General features: G+C 43.6%; 1 pseudogene, besides 2 other annotated features; it reads left to right on the top strand.

Annotated features, from left to right (window-relative positions):
• Positions 3,255 to 3,424: an enhancer, noted in NCBI's record as "experimental_9486 CRE fragment used in MPRA reporter constructs". NCBI's record gives its function as "activates a minimal promoter by MPRAs in K562 erythroleukemia cells, with activity observed for both the introgressed and non-introgressed 1:86880122 variant alleles {active_cell/tissue: K562}" and the evidence as "EXISTENCE:reporter gene assay evidence [ECO:0000049][PMID:34662402]".
• Positions 7,463 to 8,106: an enhancer, noted in NCBI's record as "NANOG-H3K4me1 hESC enhancer chr1:86875355-86875998 (GRCh37/hg19 assembly coordinates)". NCBI's record gives its function as "activates a minimal SCP1, AML or CMV promoter by ChIP-STARR-seq in naive H9 embryonic stem cells {active_cell/tissue: H9 hESC(naive)}" and the evidence as "EXISTENCE:reporter gene assay evidence [ECO:0000049][PMID:30033119]".
• RPL7L1P22 (RPL7L1 pseudogene 22) lies at positions 12,876 to 13,599 on the top strand (annotated as a pseudogene).

Below are 18,507 nucleotides of genomic sequence, written 5' to 3'. Positions count from 1 at the left end.
GCGGAGGCCGCAGGTGGAGTGGGGGCCAGTTGGAGGGTGTAACTGTAATGCGAGTGAGGAATGGAGACAAAGCTCAGACAGCAGGTTGGGTTGTCTTCTTCGTTCAGCTTTCCTGGAATTTCCTTTCCTCTCCCTATTAAATACTGTTGCTGTGTGGGTGAAATAAGAGCCCTTCAGCTTATAGGCTTATTAAGAGGAAGGATCATACTTCTTTGGCTGCCCAAATGGGCTTAATGTAATGCTGATTGACAAGAGATGAGATAAAATGAGAAACAACAACAAAAATAATCTGAGACCTATAGTCATTGGTAGTCAAATGACAAAAATGTAGTTCAAGTTTAAGCTTATAAGGCTGTGGTTCTTAATGCCTCATCCATAAATGCTCCATAAATGGCAGCTGATTCTACAGTAATTATTAATTAGTATAATTATCAGTACTGTCAGCTGGAGTTCTCTTGCTCCCCAGAGAAGTAGGTATAATTGGCTTTTACCTCTGTCAATTTCATGGCCCATGGAAGATCAAGCCCCTCCTAAATTTCTGCAACTATGCTGTATGCTTGATTTCTCAAAACTCCTGCTTCCCAGATCCACACCTGCTGCTTCTGTGTTTCACTACATTGTCTTAAATGTAGTATTTGGAATTTCTCAAAGAACCATGTATATACTGTGTTTGCAGCAATTTAGACTTTACTAAAGAGTTCTTAGGGAGCCGGGCGCGGTGGCTCACGCCTGTAATCCCAGCACTTTGGGAGGCTGAGGCGGGCGGATCACGAGGTCAGGAGATCGAGACCATCCCGGCTAAAACGGTGAAACCCCGTCTCTACTAAAAATACAAAAAATTAGCCGGGCGTAGTGGCGGGCGCCTGTAGTCCCAGCTACTCGGGAGGCTGAGGCAGGAGAATGGCGTGAACCCGGGAGGCGGAGCTTGCAGTGAGCCGAGATCCCGCCACTGCACTCCAGCCTGGGCGACAGAGCGAGACTCCGTCTCAAAAAAAAAAAAAAAAAAAAAAAAAAAAGAGTTCTTAGGGAAACTGGAGAGGTATTTATATCACAGAAAAAAATAAAACTTAAGCAGTCAGTGAAAATGGCAACATTCTTGTAAGGGAAATAGCTGCACTTTAGTCAAGAGCAGGCCGAGGTGGCCTTCTGGTGCAGCATGACTCAGTGGGTTTGGAGCACAGGGCACAACCCTGCACATTATGTAACCACGTGACACGAGGTGCATTAGGTGATCACCCATGTGAGCTCGTGCTTGGCTTGGAGCCATTATTGTCTGTAAAAGGTATAATTACCTTGCTAACACTGTATATACAGCTTGCTCGCATCCAGAGAGAGAGAGTAAAGCCATGTCAAAACTGTCTATGATTCCTCAATGTTTTTCCAGCTACCTACCACTTGCCCACCGACTCCCCTCAGACCTCAGTTAGAATCTGACAATTGGCATCATGAACAGGATCCTGAGGAGAGTGAGCCTTTGGTCCCCCACTGATTCCAGGTTGGCCATGTGGCTGCAACATGGGTTGTGGTACCCCTTGGTGGCTGTTCTGCTTGGATTTGTTCTGGTGGAAACCTGGGCGGCAGTAGTTGGGTCCCCCATGAGCATGGAGAAGGTGCTGAAGCAGCTGGAAACACAGACCACCAAGGAGCGAGCCTTTGCTGGCAGAGTTGGATGGGCATTTTTGACTGCACTACGAGAAGTACACACCCAGTCCCTGAGGGATGCAATGCAGATAAGGACCCTCCAGATGCAGGCAGCGCATCTGGAGGCCTGGCTACACAGCCCAGAAAAAGAGTTAGAAGCTGCCATGAATGGGGACCTCCAGGTGTAGGCAGGGTGCCTGAAGTCCTGGCTACAGCACTTGGAAAAGGAATTAGAAGCTGCTGTGGGCCAGGCGGGGTGGCTCACACCTGTAATCCCAGCACTTTGGGAGGGCAAGGCGGGTGGATAACTGAGGTCAGGAGTTTGAGACCAGCCTGGCCAACATGGTGAAATCCCCTCTCTACTAAAAATGCAAAAATTAGCTGGGCATGGTGTGCTCCACTGTAATCCCAGCTACTTGGGCCATTGAGGTAGGAGAATTGCTTGAACCTGGGAGGTGCAGGGTGCAGTGAGCTGAGATCACGCCACTACACTCTAGCTTGAGTGACAGAGTGAGACCCCATCTCAAGAAAATAAAATTAAATTTAAAAAGCTGCTGTGAATGCAGGCCTGGGTCTGTTGTCTCAGCCAGAGACCCCCACTTGGTCAGATACCGAGGAGGAAGAACCCCTGTTGTGGGCTCACCCAGTGGCCCATCAGAAGGTAGAACATGAACAGCCACTGGGGCCCCAAGGATAGGCTCAGAGACCCACCACTGTAATGCAACATACTTCAAATACTGCCCATACCCCAACTGAGTTGTGAGAGTTAGGCAAGCAGTGCCGTCAGCATCCAGGGGAAACTCTGCTCATCTGGATGCTTCATTTATGGGATGAGGGAGCAGACAGTATCACCTCTTCTGCCTCTGAGATGGAAAAGATGGCCTCTATCACGACTCACCTCTCCCTCCATCAGCGGTTGCAGGTTAGCTGGTGGCTGACACAAGGGCAAGGTGACCACACCTTGATTGAGTGGCTATGGGCAGCCATACGGACGGTGTGGAACGACACCAGTGAAATACTTGAAACCATGAGTAAATGGAAGTTGTATGCCAATTTGATGCAAGTCAGCTGGGAGATAGGTATGCAGCAGGCTATGTGTATTAGGGTTCTCTTGGGCAAAACTAATAGGAGATACATACATATACATACATACATATATATATGTATATATATATGAGAGTTTATTAAGTAGTAAACTCTGTCTGCAAGCTGAGGAGCAAGGAGAGCCAGTTCAGGTCTCAAAATTGAAGAATGTGGAGTCCAATATTCTAGGGCAAGAGGCGTCCAGCATGGGAGAAAGATGTAGGCTGGGAGGCTAGGCCTGTTTTCTCCTTTTTACGTTTTTCTGCCTGCTTTATATTCGCTGGCAGCTGATTAGATTGTGCCCACCAGATTAAGGGTGGGTCTGCCTTTCCCAGCCCCCTGACTCAAATGTTAATCTCTTTTGGCAACACCCTCACAGACACACCCAGGATCAATACTTTGTATCCTTCAATTGAAGCGAATTGACACTCAGTATTAGCCATCACACTATGTTTGACCTGAATACCCAGGGGCCAGATGATGAACATTTCACCTCCCATATGAGGGATCTCATGTTGGGTTCTGTGCTCCCAAGTGCCTTTGGCTTCCTAGCTGCTGTCCTTACCCCATACGTAGGATGCTGCATACATGAAGTGACTCCTGCTGTGGCAGCTCTTGGAGAAGCAGAAGGCCATTGGTGGGACCAAGGGCTCCACACAGTAAAGAAGGGGAAGACGTCTTGCCCATAGGGTCCCCACCATGGGAGAAAAGGGGGCCACAATGAGTGACATGCTCACAGATGTAGATAGATTTGATTTTGGCCAGGATTGGATGAGAGAAAATTGATAAGCAGCCCAATGAAGTACTCTTAACTTTGTGAAGATAGTTGTCTTCAGAGTAGCAATTCCAGAAAATGCCCAAGGGGGAGAAGGACGTTGCTGCGCCACCCGGTGCCACCCGGTCCCACCTGGGTACTTTAGCTCAAAGACTACTTGCTTCAGCCGGGTGGAAATGTGGAGCCTTTTCTGTTTGATTAGGGAACTGGCTGAGGTCCCCAGCTTGCAGGGACACTAGATAACTGGAGGCCACGTATGGAATTAGCAATCCACTGCTCCCCCACTAATGTACAGCGGGTGCTGGCGCTGGCGGATACTGGCACAGATTGCAGGCTTGTTTATGGGAACCTGGATAAGTTTCCAGGCAAACCTGCTTACATTGACAGTTATGGTGGCTGATCAATGAAAGTGAAGCCTGTATCGTACCTTGGCATGGGATGTTTGGCTCTCCGCTTATATATTGTGTATGTGTCTCCCATACTGGAATACATTCTGGGGGTGGACATTTTACAGGGCCTGGTGTTACAAACCACGGCAAAGTAATTCAGACTCCAAGGGCATGTGGTGAAGCCAGTGCTGCATGGACATATGCATCGCCAGCCTCAGGTCCTGCCACAACCCCAATGGGTTACTTCCATTCATCAATACCATTTGCCGGGTGGGCATACAGAGATGACTGAGACAATTAAGAAGCTGGAGGAGGTGCAGATAGTGTGTGGCATCTACAACCCCTACGATTCTCCAGTATGACCAGATAGAAAGCCTGATGAAACTTGGTGGATGATGGTGGACTATCGGGAACTAAACTAAGTAACATCCCCTTTGCATGCAGCTGTACCATCAATAATGGATTTGATGGACCATTTGATGACAGAACTGGGACAGTACCACTATGTAGTGAACTCGGCCAATACATTTTTCTCCACAGACATCACTCCAGAAAGCTAGGAACGGTTCGCCTTCATGTGAGACGGGGGACAATGAACTTTTACAGTGTTGCCACAGGGCTATGTGCATAGCCCCACCAAATGTCACGGTCTAGTTGCCACAGATTTAGCTGCTTGGCAATGTACAGAAAGGGCCCACCTATTTCATTATGTTGATGATATTATGTTAACCTCTGATTCTCTTGCTGATTTAGAAGTGGCAGTGCCCCTCTTGCAGCAACATTTGGCAGCATGCAGTTGGGCTGTCAATGAATCCAGGGTCCAAGGGCCTAGATTATCTGCCAAATTATTAGGAGTTATCTGGTCAGGTGAGACAAAGGCCATCCCAGAGGTTATCATTGATAAGATTCAGGCATATCTCCACCCCACCACGGTGAATCACCTGCAAACTTTTGTGGGCCTCCTGGGATATTGGTGGGCATTTGTGCCCAATTTAGCTCAAAGTGATAAAACCATTGCATTGAATAACAAAGAAGGGAGCTACCTGGGATTGGGATGATGTGGCTGAGACTGCCTTCCTGCCAGCCAAGCAGGCTATTCAGCCAGCAGAAGCCCTACAGGTAGTTGACCAGGGGTACCCATTTGAGCTGGATGTGCATGTGACCACAGATGGTTTCAGCTGGGACCTGTGGCAGCACAAGGAGTGCTTGAGAATGCTATCAGGCTTCTGATCTCTATGGAAGGGAGCTGAGCTCTGGTATTCCTTGATAGAGAAACAGCTAGCAGCTGTATATGCCACCCTTCAGGCTTGTGAGAGTGTGACAGGATCGGCTGCAGTCATTGTGTGAATGACTTACCCAGTAGCAGGATGGGTGCATCATGGGTAATGACCCCCTGGACTGGGATGGCACAGACATCCACCTTGGCAAAGTGGGGCGCCTACTTGGAGCAGTGGAGTATGCTGAGTACAAGCCCCTTAGCAGTAGAGTTGCAAGAGGTCTTGGGACCTGTAGTCTTAATGCAAGATAAGGCCTGAGGCACCCCTAGACCCTCAGCCTTCATTTAAGGAAGGGTGTCGCCCCCACTCCCGATGTGGCATGGTACACAGATGGGTCTAGCTGAGGTGCCACTGCTGCCTGGACCGCTGTTGCAGTCCAACCTAGTACTGACACCATATGGTTTGAAACTGGGTATGAACAAAGTAGCCAATGGGCTGAATACAGAGCACTATGGATGGTGATCACCAAGGAAGTGAAACCTATGGTAATCTGTATGGATATTTGGGTGATCTATCAAGGTTTAACCTTGTGGTTAACTACAAGGAAAATACATAAGTGGCCTTTGGCTACCCCCAGCAATGATGAGGCAGATGTCTTGGCTAAGGTCTGATGGTTAGAGTCGGCACCTACATGAGATGTGGCCATGTGGCTACACCAGAAACTGGGACATGCGGGGGTAAACTGATGCAACAGGTCAATATAGATTGGGATCTGTCCCTGACCATGCAAGATATTTGGGACGCTTGTCAGAAATGCCCAGCATGTGCTCAGACATACCCTAATCAGAGGCAGCTGCCCAGTGTTACACAACAGTAACGATAGGGCAAGTGCCCTTGACCAGGTGGCAAGTAGACTACATCAGGCCACTACGGAAGCTGCTAGGGTATACACATGTGCTAATGGCTGTGGACGTGGCCACAGGCCTTTTGTTCCCCTACCGTTGCAGGGTGGTCAACCAACAGAACACCATTCAGGCCCTGTAACACTTATGTGCCCTGTGTGGTTACCCTCTGGCCATTGAGAGTGATAGGGGAACACATTTCACTGGACAACAGGTACAAAAATGGGCACAACGAATGGGCATAAAGTGGGGACTCCATGTGCCATACAACTCACAAGCTGTGGGTATGATTGAGGGATATAACAGGCTCCTGAAGAATGGGTTATGCTTGCATGTCACACCCCCATCTTTGCAGGGCTGGAGTTCCAGGCTGGACATGGTGCTCCAAACCTTGAATGAATGACCACCAAAAGGTGGCCCAGCCCCAGTGGAGGCTTTGTTACACTGGGCTACTGTCCCATTCAGTTGCAGATACATACCAGGGATGACCTCCTCTGACCAGATATGGGGACTTATGGTAACCTGTTGTTGCCTGCCCCAACACCCTTGAAGGCAGGAGAACAGAAAACCTGGCTGTGTCTGTGGACCCTCCAAGTCCCCCACTGCTGGTGGCTGGCCATCATAGCTCCCTGTGGGGAGGGCCTGCAGTGTGACTTGCATGTCGCTCCTTGGGTGTTTGATGCATGGCCCCCATGGTTGGCTGTTCATGGTGGGGCGGTCGGGGAAGGAGCCCTCCTCCGGGGCACATATGTACTGTCTGTGTGGCCTATTATGAGCTCCCCTGTGACTGTGGCACTGATACAGGACTCAAAGAAACCATGGGGAGCTGAGAAGGTGTAGTACCATTGCCCAGGGCAAAAGTGCTTGGGGGCTGCATTGTTATTCAGGGATGAAAGGTTAGCTTGTATTTTGCCTGAGGGACGTGACTTACCCCCGTTAGTACCTGTGCTTGCTCTGTCACTTCGACATAGGTTAACATGCTCCAACTGTATTGTGGACCTATGCTGAGGTGACCAATGTTTTCAACTGTTGGGTCTGCACCACCCTTCCAGCAGCAGCTGCGGATAGCTTGCCTTGGCACATGCATTCCACATCTGCAGAGAACTGGACATAGTTGGAGACTTGGGGTCCCATAGCTGACACTTGGAATGCAAAGTGGCAAGCTCTGGACAAAGGATGCTGCAAGACCCATGGTGCACCCACCCCCTGGCTGGCCTGTAGCGTTTATGACAGGTGGGGCTGGCTAGTGGGGGAACATGTAGTACCCCTGGCCCAGGCACTGCAACACTGGGGTAACACCACTGTGGGTTGGGTACCCGTCATGGCCTGTGCAAACATAACATGTGTCACCACACCAAAGGTAGGATGGAACAAGCGGCCCCACCAAGGTCAGGCCCAATGGACTTTTTGCCCCTGAGACTTTATGGGTCTGTGGGGACACAGGGTGGCCTTACCTACCAGATGACTGGATTGGATGTTGTACCTGGGGGTGGCCTTATGTACCTGCCTCTGTTCTCTCCATGTTGCCCAGATGTCTGCGTAACTGGGAGGTGCTACGCTCTTTGTTTTCGCAAATGCGACGAGCCCCCTGGTGGTTCTACCCCTTGGCAATGACTATCCCTGGAGTGGGTGTCATAACTATAGAAGCACAAGTTACTGCTCTTGTAGAGCACAACACTTGGGCTCTGAATTACACCCAAGTGGCCCTCCTCCTGTTAATGGATGAGGTTGATCAGATCAGAAAGGTGGTGTGGCAAAACAGAATGGCCTTAGGCATAATAACTGCTGCCCAAGGAGGCACCTGTGTCTTTTTAGGAACACAGCATTGTACCTTTATCCCTGACAATCAGCAGAACTTAACAGCAGCCCTGTAAGGGGTCTCATGAGAGATTAAGGCAGTTGAGAGCCTTACTGATGACCCCCTGCAGAGATGGTGGCATTCCCCAGGCTCTGGCCTGTGCTGGGCCCTAACAGTCATAAGTAGCATAGCTGGGATCCTAGTAGTGAGCTGTTGCTGTCTGTATTGTTGTTGTGGAATATGGATTCAGGTCTCCACCCTATGGTCACGTGTCCCTGCCTGGAGGAGGCCCTCAGCCTAGGGGGTGGAGTGTAAGCGATATGGCTGCACTTTAGTCAGGAGTAGGCTGAAGTGGCCTTCTGGTGCAGCATGAGTCAGTGGGTTTGGAGTGCAGGCGCACAACCCCACACATTATGTAACCATGCCACATGAGGCGCATTAGGCCTCAGAGCCACTATTGTCTGAAAAAGGTTTAATTACCCTGCTAACGCTGTACATATGGTTCACTCATGCCCAGAGAGAGAGTAAAGCCATGTCGAAACTGCCTATGATTCCTCGAATGTTTTTCTAGCTACCTGCCACTCACCCACTGACTCCCCTCGGACCTCAGTTAGAACCTGACAATTCTTTATTTATTTTTTAATTTATTATTGAGATAAGGTCTGGTTCTGTTGCCCAGGCTGGAGTACAGGGGTGACATCTCAGCTCACTGCAACCTCCACCTCCCAGGCTCAAGCCATCCTTTCACCTCAGCCTCCTGAGTAGCTGGAACTACAGGTGCACACCACCATGCCTGGCTAATTTTTGTATTTTTTGTAGAGACAGGGTTTTGCCATGTCGCCCAGGCTGGTCTCGAACTCGTGAGCTCAAGCAATCCACTCGCTCCAGCCCCCCAAAGTGCTGGGATTACAGGCGTGACCCACCACACACCTGGCTGGCAACATTCTTTAAATAATTTTCCACAAATGTGGATCTTCCTTGGCTCCCAATTTGCCTCAGCCTCTTTCTATCTTGAGGGATCTTCATCTCTCATCTCTCTTCCTCACTTTGAAAAGTAAAACCATCCAACTAGCCATCAACAAAACAAGCCTTTCCTGGCCTCATACAGAGCCCATGACTTACTCCTCTGAATCCTAAGCACCACTCACTCAAAACCCAGGCAAGACAGGAGAAGTAGAAGAGCTCCCCTCCACCCCAGACATTTACCGACTGCTCTCCCCAAAAGGGATTCTTCAATAAGAGCTTTCAAAGACTATTCTGGCAAAGGCACTCATCTTCCTGGGGCCTTCAAAAGGGACTAGAGTTCACCTCTATATATTCTTTTCTGAATTCAAAGTCAGAGTATTTTCTCCTCTAACATTCTTTTTCTTGTGACATGTCAGCTCTATTTTCTAAAGTTGCCATTTTCCCTTTAACTAGCTGGGCATAGCCAAGGTCTCAGAGTAAGGTCTCAGGGCTCTTCCCATATCCCACCATGCCTAGCATTCTAACTTGTTCCCAGTTTTCTTGAATAATCTCCTGTTTTGATTATTCCAAGAGTCTGGCTTTGGCTTGCTTGAAAATTCTAATGAAGGTCCTGCTTAAACTAAGACCACTTTGATCTCATTCCTCATTCCTCACCAATTCTTTTAGTGTCTCTCATATGAGTACTTTCTCCTCTGCCTTTTTCTATACTCCCCACGAAGGCTAGGGAACAACTTTTTTTTTTTTTTGGAGACGAAGTCTTGTTCTTGTTCCCCAGGCTGGAGTGCGATGCCATGATCTCGGCTCACTGCAACCTCCACCTCCCAGGTTCAAGCGATTCTCCTGCCTCAGCCTCCTGAGTAGCTGGGATTACAGGCACCTTCCACCATGCCCAGCTAATTTTTGTATTTTTAGCAAAGATGGGGTTTCACCATGTTGGCCAGGCTGGTCTCGAACTCCTGACCTCAGGTGATCAGCCCACCTCAGCCTCCCAAAGTGCTGGGATTACAGGCATGAGCCACCGCGCCCGGCTGGGAACAACGTTAAAAAAAAAAATCAGTATTTATCTTTCACAATGTACCTGTTTTTAATTTTTTCTCTATTAGAAAGTAATGGGATATTTTTGAGTAGAGATTTTTTAGAGTCTGATAACTAGGAAAATGGAAAATGAATCAATTTTTTGATGTAATGTTATAATTGGTTACTAAAAATGCAATAATTTCCAAAACAAAAAGTGTACAATATGTAGTACATTTTATTCAAGATCAAATATTCATATTACAAAAATATTGAGTCTTTTAAAAACAATGGTTATGAGTAAGTGACACATTTTTGAAAAGAAACCTTTCAAGAAGCATATTATCTTTTTAAAGAATAAAAGAGTAATTTTTTTAGTGTCATAACTTATCCTAAATGTTACTACATCACACACATGCTTTATCTCCATTTGAATGACTTATCATAATCTAGATTATAGCAATGAGTCACACATTGTAGATTACTTACAAAGAAGGGAATAAAGCCAAAAGAATAAAATTCCAGAGTATAAGAATATATCAAAATTTCCTGCCACTTCTGTTTTCCATTATATGGACTTTCATTGGCCTTCACCTGCTAATCCTGTGTTATCACAATCATGTGGAAGCAGTGGATAAATGGTTAAATGATTGGGCTTTGAAGTTAGTCTGCCTGGATTGAAATCCCAGCTCTGCTTCTTACTAGCTGTGTGGCCTTAGCTAAGTTATTAAACATCTCTATGCCTCAGTTGCTACATCTGTAAAATTGGTGTAATAATTAAGTGGGACATAGAGTGATTAAAACTATGACTAGGCCAGAGTAAGAGTTTAATAGATATTAATCTCAATTAATTTATTGCCAGTCTCCCATGTGTGTGGCCTCTGCTTAGGTTTTGTTAATGCCTACGCAATCACCATTCTCCTTCCTGCTTTCTTGCTGGCAGAACCTGTCTTCCATGACAGAGGTCAAATACCCGATGCTCATTTTTCCAAACCTCCCTTATACTGCAACATGAGTATGTGACCTGACAATAGGATATGCTAGCAGGAGGGAGGTGCAAGAGAAGGAGGTGGTGGTTTTGGGATCATTTATAAAAAAGATTTTTCTCCCTGAAAAGTCTGGAAAACCCCCATTCTTCTTTCCTATCATGGCGTCAGAAGCTCAGGGAGGCTCTGTGACTGTCAGGTAAAAGGTGTGAGGGCAGTCTTTTTGCTTTTTGCAAAGGGTAGCAGAGCTGAAAGGTAGAGAAAGCTGGCGTCCCCGATGACACTGGTAACTGCTGAGCCAACACAAGAGCATCTAACTCCAGACTTCACTATGAGAAGTCATGAAAGCCCCTATTCTTTAAGCCACTTTAACAGTTGGGATCCTGTTACTTCCAGCTGAAGCTGATAATGATTGATAAAGGCACTTCAGAAAATAGCACTGACATTTCTAAAAAGTGTCAATCAATGTTTGGAAACATGTACATAAAGTGGTTTAATTTGTAAACTATGTAACATTTTGATGAACAAATTAATTTTATTTTCAGCCCTTCTTTTCCAAATAAAAGGATCATGTTTAGCTTAATAAGCTATCGGGGGAAAGATCTATTGAAAAATATCCATCCAAAGTAGACAAGCCTACGTTAAAAAGGAAAAAGGGAAAAAGCAAAGTAATTGTTAAGGTTATTTAAGCTTTTCTTAAAGTGTGTGCTAGACCATACATGTGTTAACTATGGCAATTTCATATTTGTATCCCTGCATTATTAAGCTTCTGTCTCCAAAGGACCACTTTCTGTCTTCCTATAAATGTTTTTCTTTGTAGTTGGCACCTAGGAGTCCATCATTTTCTGAGGGTTCTTTAAATAGTTCACTAGCTCTCAAATTAATTTCTGGTTATACGAGTGGATTTTCAAACAATACAAGAATAAAAAGTGTCCAATTTCTCTATGACCACACAGCATCTTTATGGCATCAGACTTAAGTTGCTTACATTACCTTACATTAAAAAAGCCCTTAATAACTAATGAAAGCCAAGTGATAATATAGTTTAAAAGGTAAATTTTATACTCAAGCATCATTTTCCTTTGGTCAGACAGAGAAACACTGATGTCCCAGAGGACAGAGTATTAAGCTTAAAATACAAGGTTAAACAGTGTTATTTTCTGAATAGCATTTAAAATAAACAGATTTAAAAGCTGGTTATGTAATATAATGCATTAAATGTTTAATACCTGACCTAATTTCATTGACTGTAGACATTGAACATATGCTGCAAGGTGGGCTAAGTTTGACAGTAATTATTTAACTGGTCAAACATCCTGGATTTTTTTCAGGTTATGGTAATTACTGGAATAATTTACAGTTAGAGGGAAAACTAGATTCACATATACTGTTACTCTCCTTTAAAAAAAGGCTCGTGTCTGAAGACTACAACTTACATGGAAAATATCTGGATGAAAAGAGATAAACATTCTTGATTGTGCGTCATGTACTTTGCACCTTAAAACAATCATTGTCAATACCTACCACTTATAGAGCACATATGATTTATCAGCGATAAGGCAATGTATTCTACAAATATGGCTTTAATTATCACAACAATCCTATCAGATGGGTAGAATTATTCCTTAGTTTTTTTTAATAGAGAAGCCTCAGAGAAGTAAAGTAATTTTCCCAAGGCTTCTTGGTGGAAAACATGAATACAGGTTGGTCTCATTCCAGAGCCCTTGTTACTAATTACTGTGTAATTGTAACAACCCATTTCACCCTCACCCCAGGCCCACACTTAGCCCTACCTCCACAGGTTTAGTTAGTGTAGTGCTGGGGTAGTTAGTGCCTTTCTGGATGGTTTCTGGTAAGAACCTCCTTTCAAGGTTCAAGGTAGCATGTTGTCCATTGCTATGGATTGAATGTTTGTATCCCCCACTCCCCAAAATTCATATGTTCAAACTATAATACTGAATGTGATGGTATTTAAGGATGGGTCTTTGGGAGGTGATTAGGTTATAGAAGTGGAGCCCTCAAGATGGGATTATTGCCCTTATAAGAAGAGACATGACAGTGGGGAGGGCATGGTCAGTAGCTGCAGCACTAGAAAGTTGGTGGAGAAGACCAAATAAAATTTCCTTTGGTCCTAGGAAATCAAGTCCTCAAAGCCACTCAGTCAAAGAGGGCACTTTTAGCAAAGAAGGAGCAGAGGAAAGGAAAAGGGCTCAGGTTTAAGTGTCTGGAATTATTCCTATATGATTCTTGGCAGCATAAATGTGACAAGCTGCAACTCAGATGACTAGATGTAAAACCTTGTGCCTTGGAACAACCAGATAAACACTCCTCGGCCTTTGTTGTATGCATCCAAAGGATTAATGATGTGAGTTTGCTGGTGCAGAGAATCATCATAAGGCTTTGCCTGAAGACATTTTTCAGTGGTGTCTTTGTAGAAGTCACCCCCTCCCCACCCCTCCACCCTCAGCCTAGAAATGCTGCATATAGTGGAACATTACGTGACCTGGGGATTTTCAAATCTGAAGTCTTTCCAGGAACTCATCTTGAAATGTGGGCAAGCCAAGGTCAAAAGTAAGACCAGTCCCTCTGGCAGACAACACAGTTATTGGGGAGCACCTGGGGAGGTTTGGCGTTATTTGCTTAAAAGACGTCATTCACGAAATTGTCTTCCTGGGGAAGTATTTCCAAGAGATCTCATTGTTCTTGCACCCTTTCCACCTCCTTGTGGCCTATCATGCTACCAAGAATAACATGGTGGGCTTCCTCAAGGGAATGGGCTCACCTGGCTATCAGAGTGAAGGCATGAATGAGCTCATCCACAGCTGAACTAGACCCAGAATACTTGAAAGCACAGTGTATTAGTGTATTGGAAGTATGTGCTTTTGCTTTTCAGAATTGATATCAAGTAACTTCAGAGAAGATTATTTCCTGCTCTATTGTGAAAAACTGGAAGGGAAGGGTCAGGGAAAAGACAGCAGGTTATGTTCATGGCAGGCACCTCTCGGCACAGTCCAGTTCTAAGGAAACATTTCCATGCTCTCCATATTGGCTGCCACATCCTCTGAAATCAGCACATGCCATGGAGGAAGGAGTCCTGCTTTGTTGCATCTTCTATCCTGGGGTTTAATATTCATGAGTGAATAAGCATTTTGTACAAGACACCCTAAGACTCCTGCAGCAGTACACCAAGCCCAGGGGTATACTTGAATCTAGGAGTTCCTAAGGCCTTATTTTTAAAAGACTTGAAATACAATTAGGAAGAAGGGCACAAAAAGAACTGCTCAGTTGTCTCTGCTGTGCATCTATGTTCCAACTTTTCAGTGGTGGCTCTCAGAGCTCTCAGACTTGGCTGACTCCAAGTATATCTGGTGGCTTTTATATTCTAGCCTGCAACTGGCTTAGCCTTTTTCTCTAAAAGCTCAGGATTTGAGAATGAAAGACCTCTTCAGCAGAAAAACATGCACACACTCAAAATTTTGCTTGCAGTTTTAGGGTATTTAGACCCTTCTCCTCAGGGACCTATGCACCTTATGTGAGGAAGTCCTGCTCTTATCAGGACTGGTCACCCAGGCCCTGATGTTGATCATTTCTGGTTCCATGTCCTGTGGAAGACCAAAGCTTACCAAGAGAGCTTTTTCTCTTTACGTGGCAGATGGTGTTGCCCCCTGTGCCTACTAGAACTCTGGGAAATGCCCACCATTTCTCTCCTGGGCTTCAGGATAGAATTTCCTGATTTCTCTGATGATCAGCACTCTCCTTAAAACCCAGATCAGGAAGGAATGAACCATTTTCTTCATTTGGCCTGGATAAAGTTAGCAGTGTCTGGCTTTTTAGGCCCCAGGCAGGCAGCTTAATAAACCTTTCCCTTGCAAATTCTAGTCTCCAAAAGTATTGCCCTTTGTCCTGCTGGTAATAATGTAGGAAACTAGCAACAAGGCTTCCAGGGATTTCCTGAAAACAGTGGATCTGATTCTGCTTGTGTTTTTCATCAGTGACCACCCCCAAGTGGACCCTCGCATTACTCCCTTCAATTAATTGCCTCAGCTTGCCATCTGAGCAATTGACAAGGATGTGCCAGGCCTAGGTTAAACTTTAAAACATGCTTAACCATTGTATTTCCTGATCCTTTCAGAACAGCTTTCTACATTTTGGTTTATGGGGCCCTCAAATATAGCTGGAAATTGAGTTAGAGGTATAAGAATGCCTTAAAATATGCCAGCTTATGAGGCCATCAATTAGGTTGGTTGGCTCCACAGTTAGCCTGCCAGGAATAGATACTATAGATGTTACTCTTACACTGTAAAACACTGTGAAATCAGATTACTTTTAAATGATGTATCACAAAGTCATGGAAAAAAGCAGTTGTGAGTATGGAATCCCAGGTCTTCTATCCCAGCTTGTTTTCACTCTGCCTGTAAAATGGGAGCTAATATCCTCCAGCCTGTCCGACTCACATGTTGGTTAAAAGGATTAAGCAAAATAATAGTTTGTAATTTATAATTCTATACAAAGCAAAGATATTATTTATAAAAGGGAGAGACATGAAAGAGCTTGCTTCCCTCCTCTCTCTACCATGTGGGAGTACGACAAGAAGGCATCCTTCTGCAAATCAAGAAGAGGGCCCTCACCAGGAACCAAATTGGCTGGCACCTTGATCTTGGTCTTCTCAAATTTCTGTTGTTTAAGCCACCCAGTCTATATTTTTGTTACAGCACTCCAAACTAAGACATGCGCTGATACTCTATCTTGTAAAGCAAAGTTGTTCTGTTGCCCCAAGACTTTGCTCAATTCTTGTCTGACTTGCCCTGTGGACAACCGTCTTTGTAGTAAATGGAGTCTAGCCAATTTTAAGACTTATATAAAACTACAGTAATCAAGAGAATGTCATGTAGGCAAATGTTTTGATTATAAATTATTAGAATAGAATGGATTGTCCAGAAATAAACACACACACACATGGTCTAATCATTTTCAACAAAAGCACTAAATTGATTCAATGGGGAAGAGAAAGTCTTTTAAATAAATGGTGGTACCAAATTGGGTATCTGTATAAAACAAAGTGAATCTTGACCCCTTACATCATTCCTAAAAAACTTAATTCAAGATAGGTCATATACTTACTTATAAAAGCTTCAAATAATAAAACTTCTAGAAGAAAACATAGCGACTTCACAAATGTGGAGTTGCGGTACATTAAACTATAAAAGAAAAATGCTGGTAAGTTAGATGTTTCAAATAAAAATTTTCTGCTCTTCAAAAGATACCATTAAGAAAATATATGAGAAATAGGAGGAAAGTATTAGTTACATATATCTGACAAATCGTTTTTCAGAATATGTAAACAACTCCTGAAAATCAACAATAAAACAACAATCCAAAAAAATGGGTAAAAGACTTGAACAACACTTCATAAATGATGTACGGTCAATAACTGAAAGGTGCTAAACATCATTCATTACCAAAAAAAACCACAAATTGAAATCCATAATGAGCTGCCACCTCACACCCCCTAGAACAGTTAAAATAAAAAATACTGCTGTACTAAATGTTGGCAAGGATGTGAAGCAACAGGAAGCATCATACACTGCTGGTAAAGTTAAACATACTTATACCCTATAACCAGTAATTCCACTCCTAGCTAAGAAAAATGAAAGCATATGTTAATAAAATGCGTTTTAAAGAATGCTTATAGCAGCCTTATTCATTAATAACTAGAAGCTGCCAACAACCTAAATATCTATCAACAGGAGCACTAATAAGCAAATTGTGGTATATTTACACAATGAAATACTACTATATAGTAGGCTGTTCTTACGTTGCTATAAAGAAATACCTGAGGCTGGGTAATTTATAAAGAAAAGAGGTTTAATTGGCTCATAGTTCTATAGGCTGTACAAGCATTGCACCAACATCTGCTGGGGTTCTGTGAGGGCTTCAAGAAGCTTATAATTATGGCTTACAAGAAGGTTAAGGGGAGCAACCACATCACATGATGAGAGCAGCAGCAAGAGTTGGGATTGGAGAGGTGCAACACACTTTTAAACAACAGGTCTCACATGAATTCAGACCAAAACTCACTTATCATCAAGGGGATGGTACTAAACCATTCATGAGGGATATGCCCCCATGATCTGACACTTCCAACATCAGACCCCACCTCCAACACTGGGGATTACATTTCAACATGAGATTTGGAGAGGACAAACATGCAAACTATATCAACTACTCAGCCAAAAAAAAAAAAAAAAAAAAAAACTACTAAACTATGCAACAACATGGATGAATCTCAATCTCAAAAAAAAAGAACAAACTACTAAAATATGCAACAACATGGATGAATCTCAATCTCTCTCTCTCGCTATATATATATATATATATTCATTCAAATATGTGGGTGTGTATATATATGTATATACACATATATACATATATACACACACACATGCCTATTTGAATGAAAGAAGTCAGACAAAAAGGAATATATATTGTGTGATTCCATTTATATGAACACCAAGAATAGGCAATATTAACCTCTAGTCATATAAATTAGAAAGTAGTAGTCTCTCTGTGTGTGGGCTAGGGGAGGATGGAGAGGCATGAGGGTAGTTTTGGTGAACTGACAAGCTACAGACAGATACAAATAAACACTTTGGACTGACATAAATGTTCTAAATTTTGTTTTAGGTATTATTTTCATGAGTGCATATAATTATATAATTGGCAAAAGTCATACTCTGAACATTTAATACATATGTACTTTATTGAATATAAATTATACAACCATTTAAAAGTGGCCTATAATCCTCAGGAATTAAGTAGTCACTGAAGGCATACCTTTGTTGGGAATGGCAGGAATGAAGAATACAAAGATTGTGGGGTGATTTTTCTATTTATGACTGTACTAGGATGCTTAAAGAAAAATGTGATAAGCTCAGAGGCCCAGAGAACTTCTATGATTACCTTAAAACTTTATTAATTGCTGGGATGACACATCCAAATCAAGTATTAATGCTGTGAAGAGCTAAATTACAAGGTAAGTTGAATAAACAGACTCCTCAGGTCTCTTATGTAAGAAATTAAGGCATTGATTGGGAAGGAGTTGGATCTTTAGAGTTGTGATAGAGAGGTTGGGTGAATTCGGATAGCTCTATTATCTTAATACGCAGACACTACAGAGCTTTTTGCTTTCTGAAGAACTCCTCCCTTCCTATCTATAGGGCTGGTCTTGTACTCCTTGAAAATTCTGAAGTAACTTAATCTGAGGAATTTACCTTGTGAATCAATTGAGAAGAACTGATTGTTCTCAGAACTCAACTGTTATCAGTTCTTTATACCTCTAGACTACATCACCTAGTAGAAATATAATGTGAGCCACATACGTAATTTAAAATCTTCTACTAGCTACTCTTAAAATAGTGAAAAAGAAATAGTTGTGGTTAAATTTTGGTAATATATTTTATTTAACTCAACATAAACAAAATATCATTTCTGGTGGCATTGGTGGTATAGTGGTGAGTATAGCTGCCTTCCAAAATATCATTTCGACATAATCAGTATGAAAATCAAGATATTTTATGTTCTTTTTCATATGCAAAATGTGTGTATTTTGCATTTACAACATGTCTCAATTCAGAATCATCACATTTCAAATGTTTGAAATAGCTATAGGTGGCTGGTGGCCTTTGTATTCTCCATATTGGACCGGGGTTTCTTAATGTCAGCACTGTTGACATTTT

Source organism: Homo sapiens, chromosome 1 (assembly GCF_000001405.40).
Source record: "Homo sapiens chromosome 1, GRCh38.p14 Primary Assembly".
In the NCBI taxonomy this organism is placed as follows: domain Eukaryota; kingdom Metazoa; phylum Chordata; class Mammalia; order Primates; family Hominidae; genus Homo; species Homo sapiens.
Note: the sequence above shows the minus strand (reverse complement) of the source record. Positions and strands in the feature narration are given on the sequence as shown.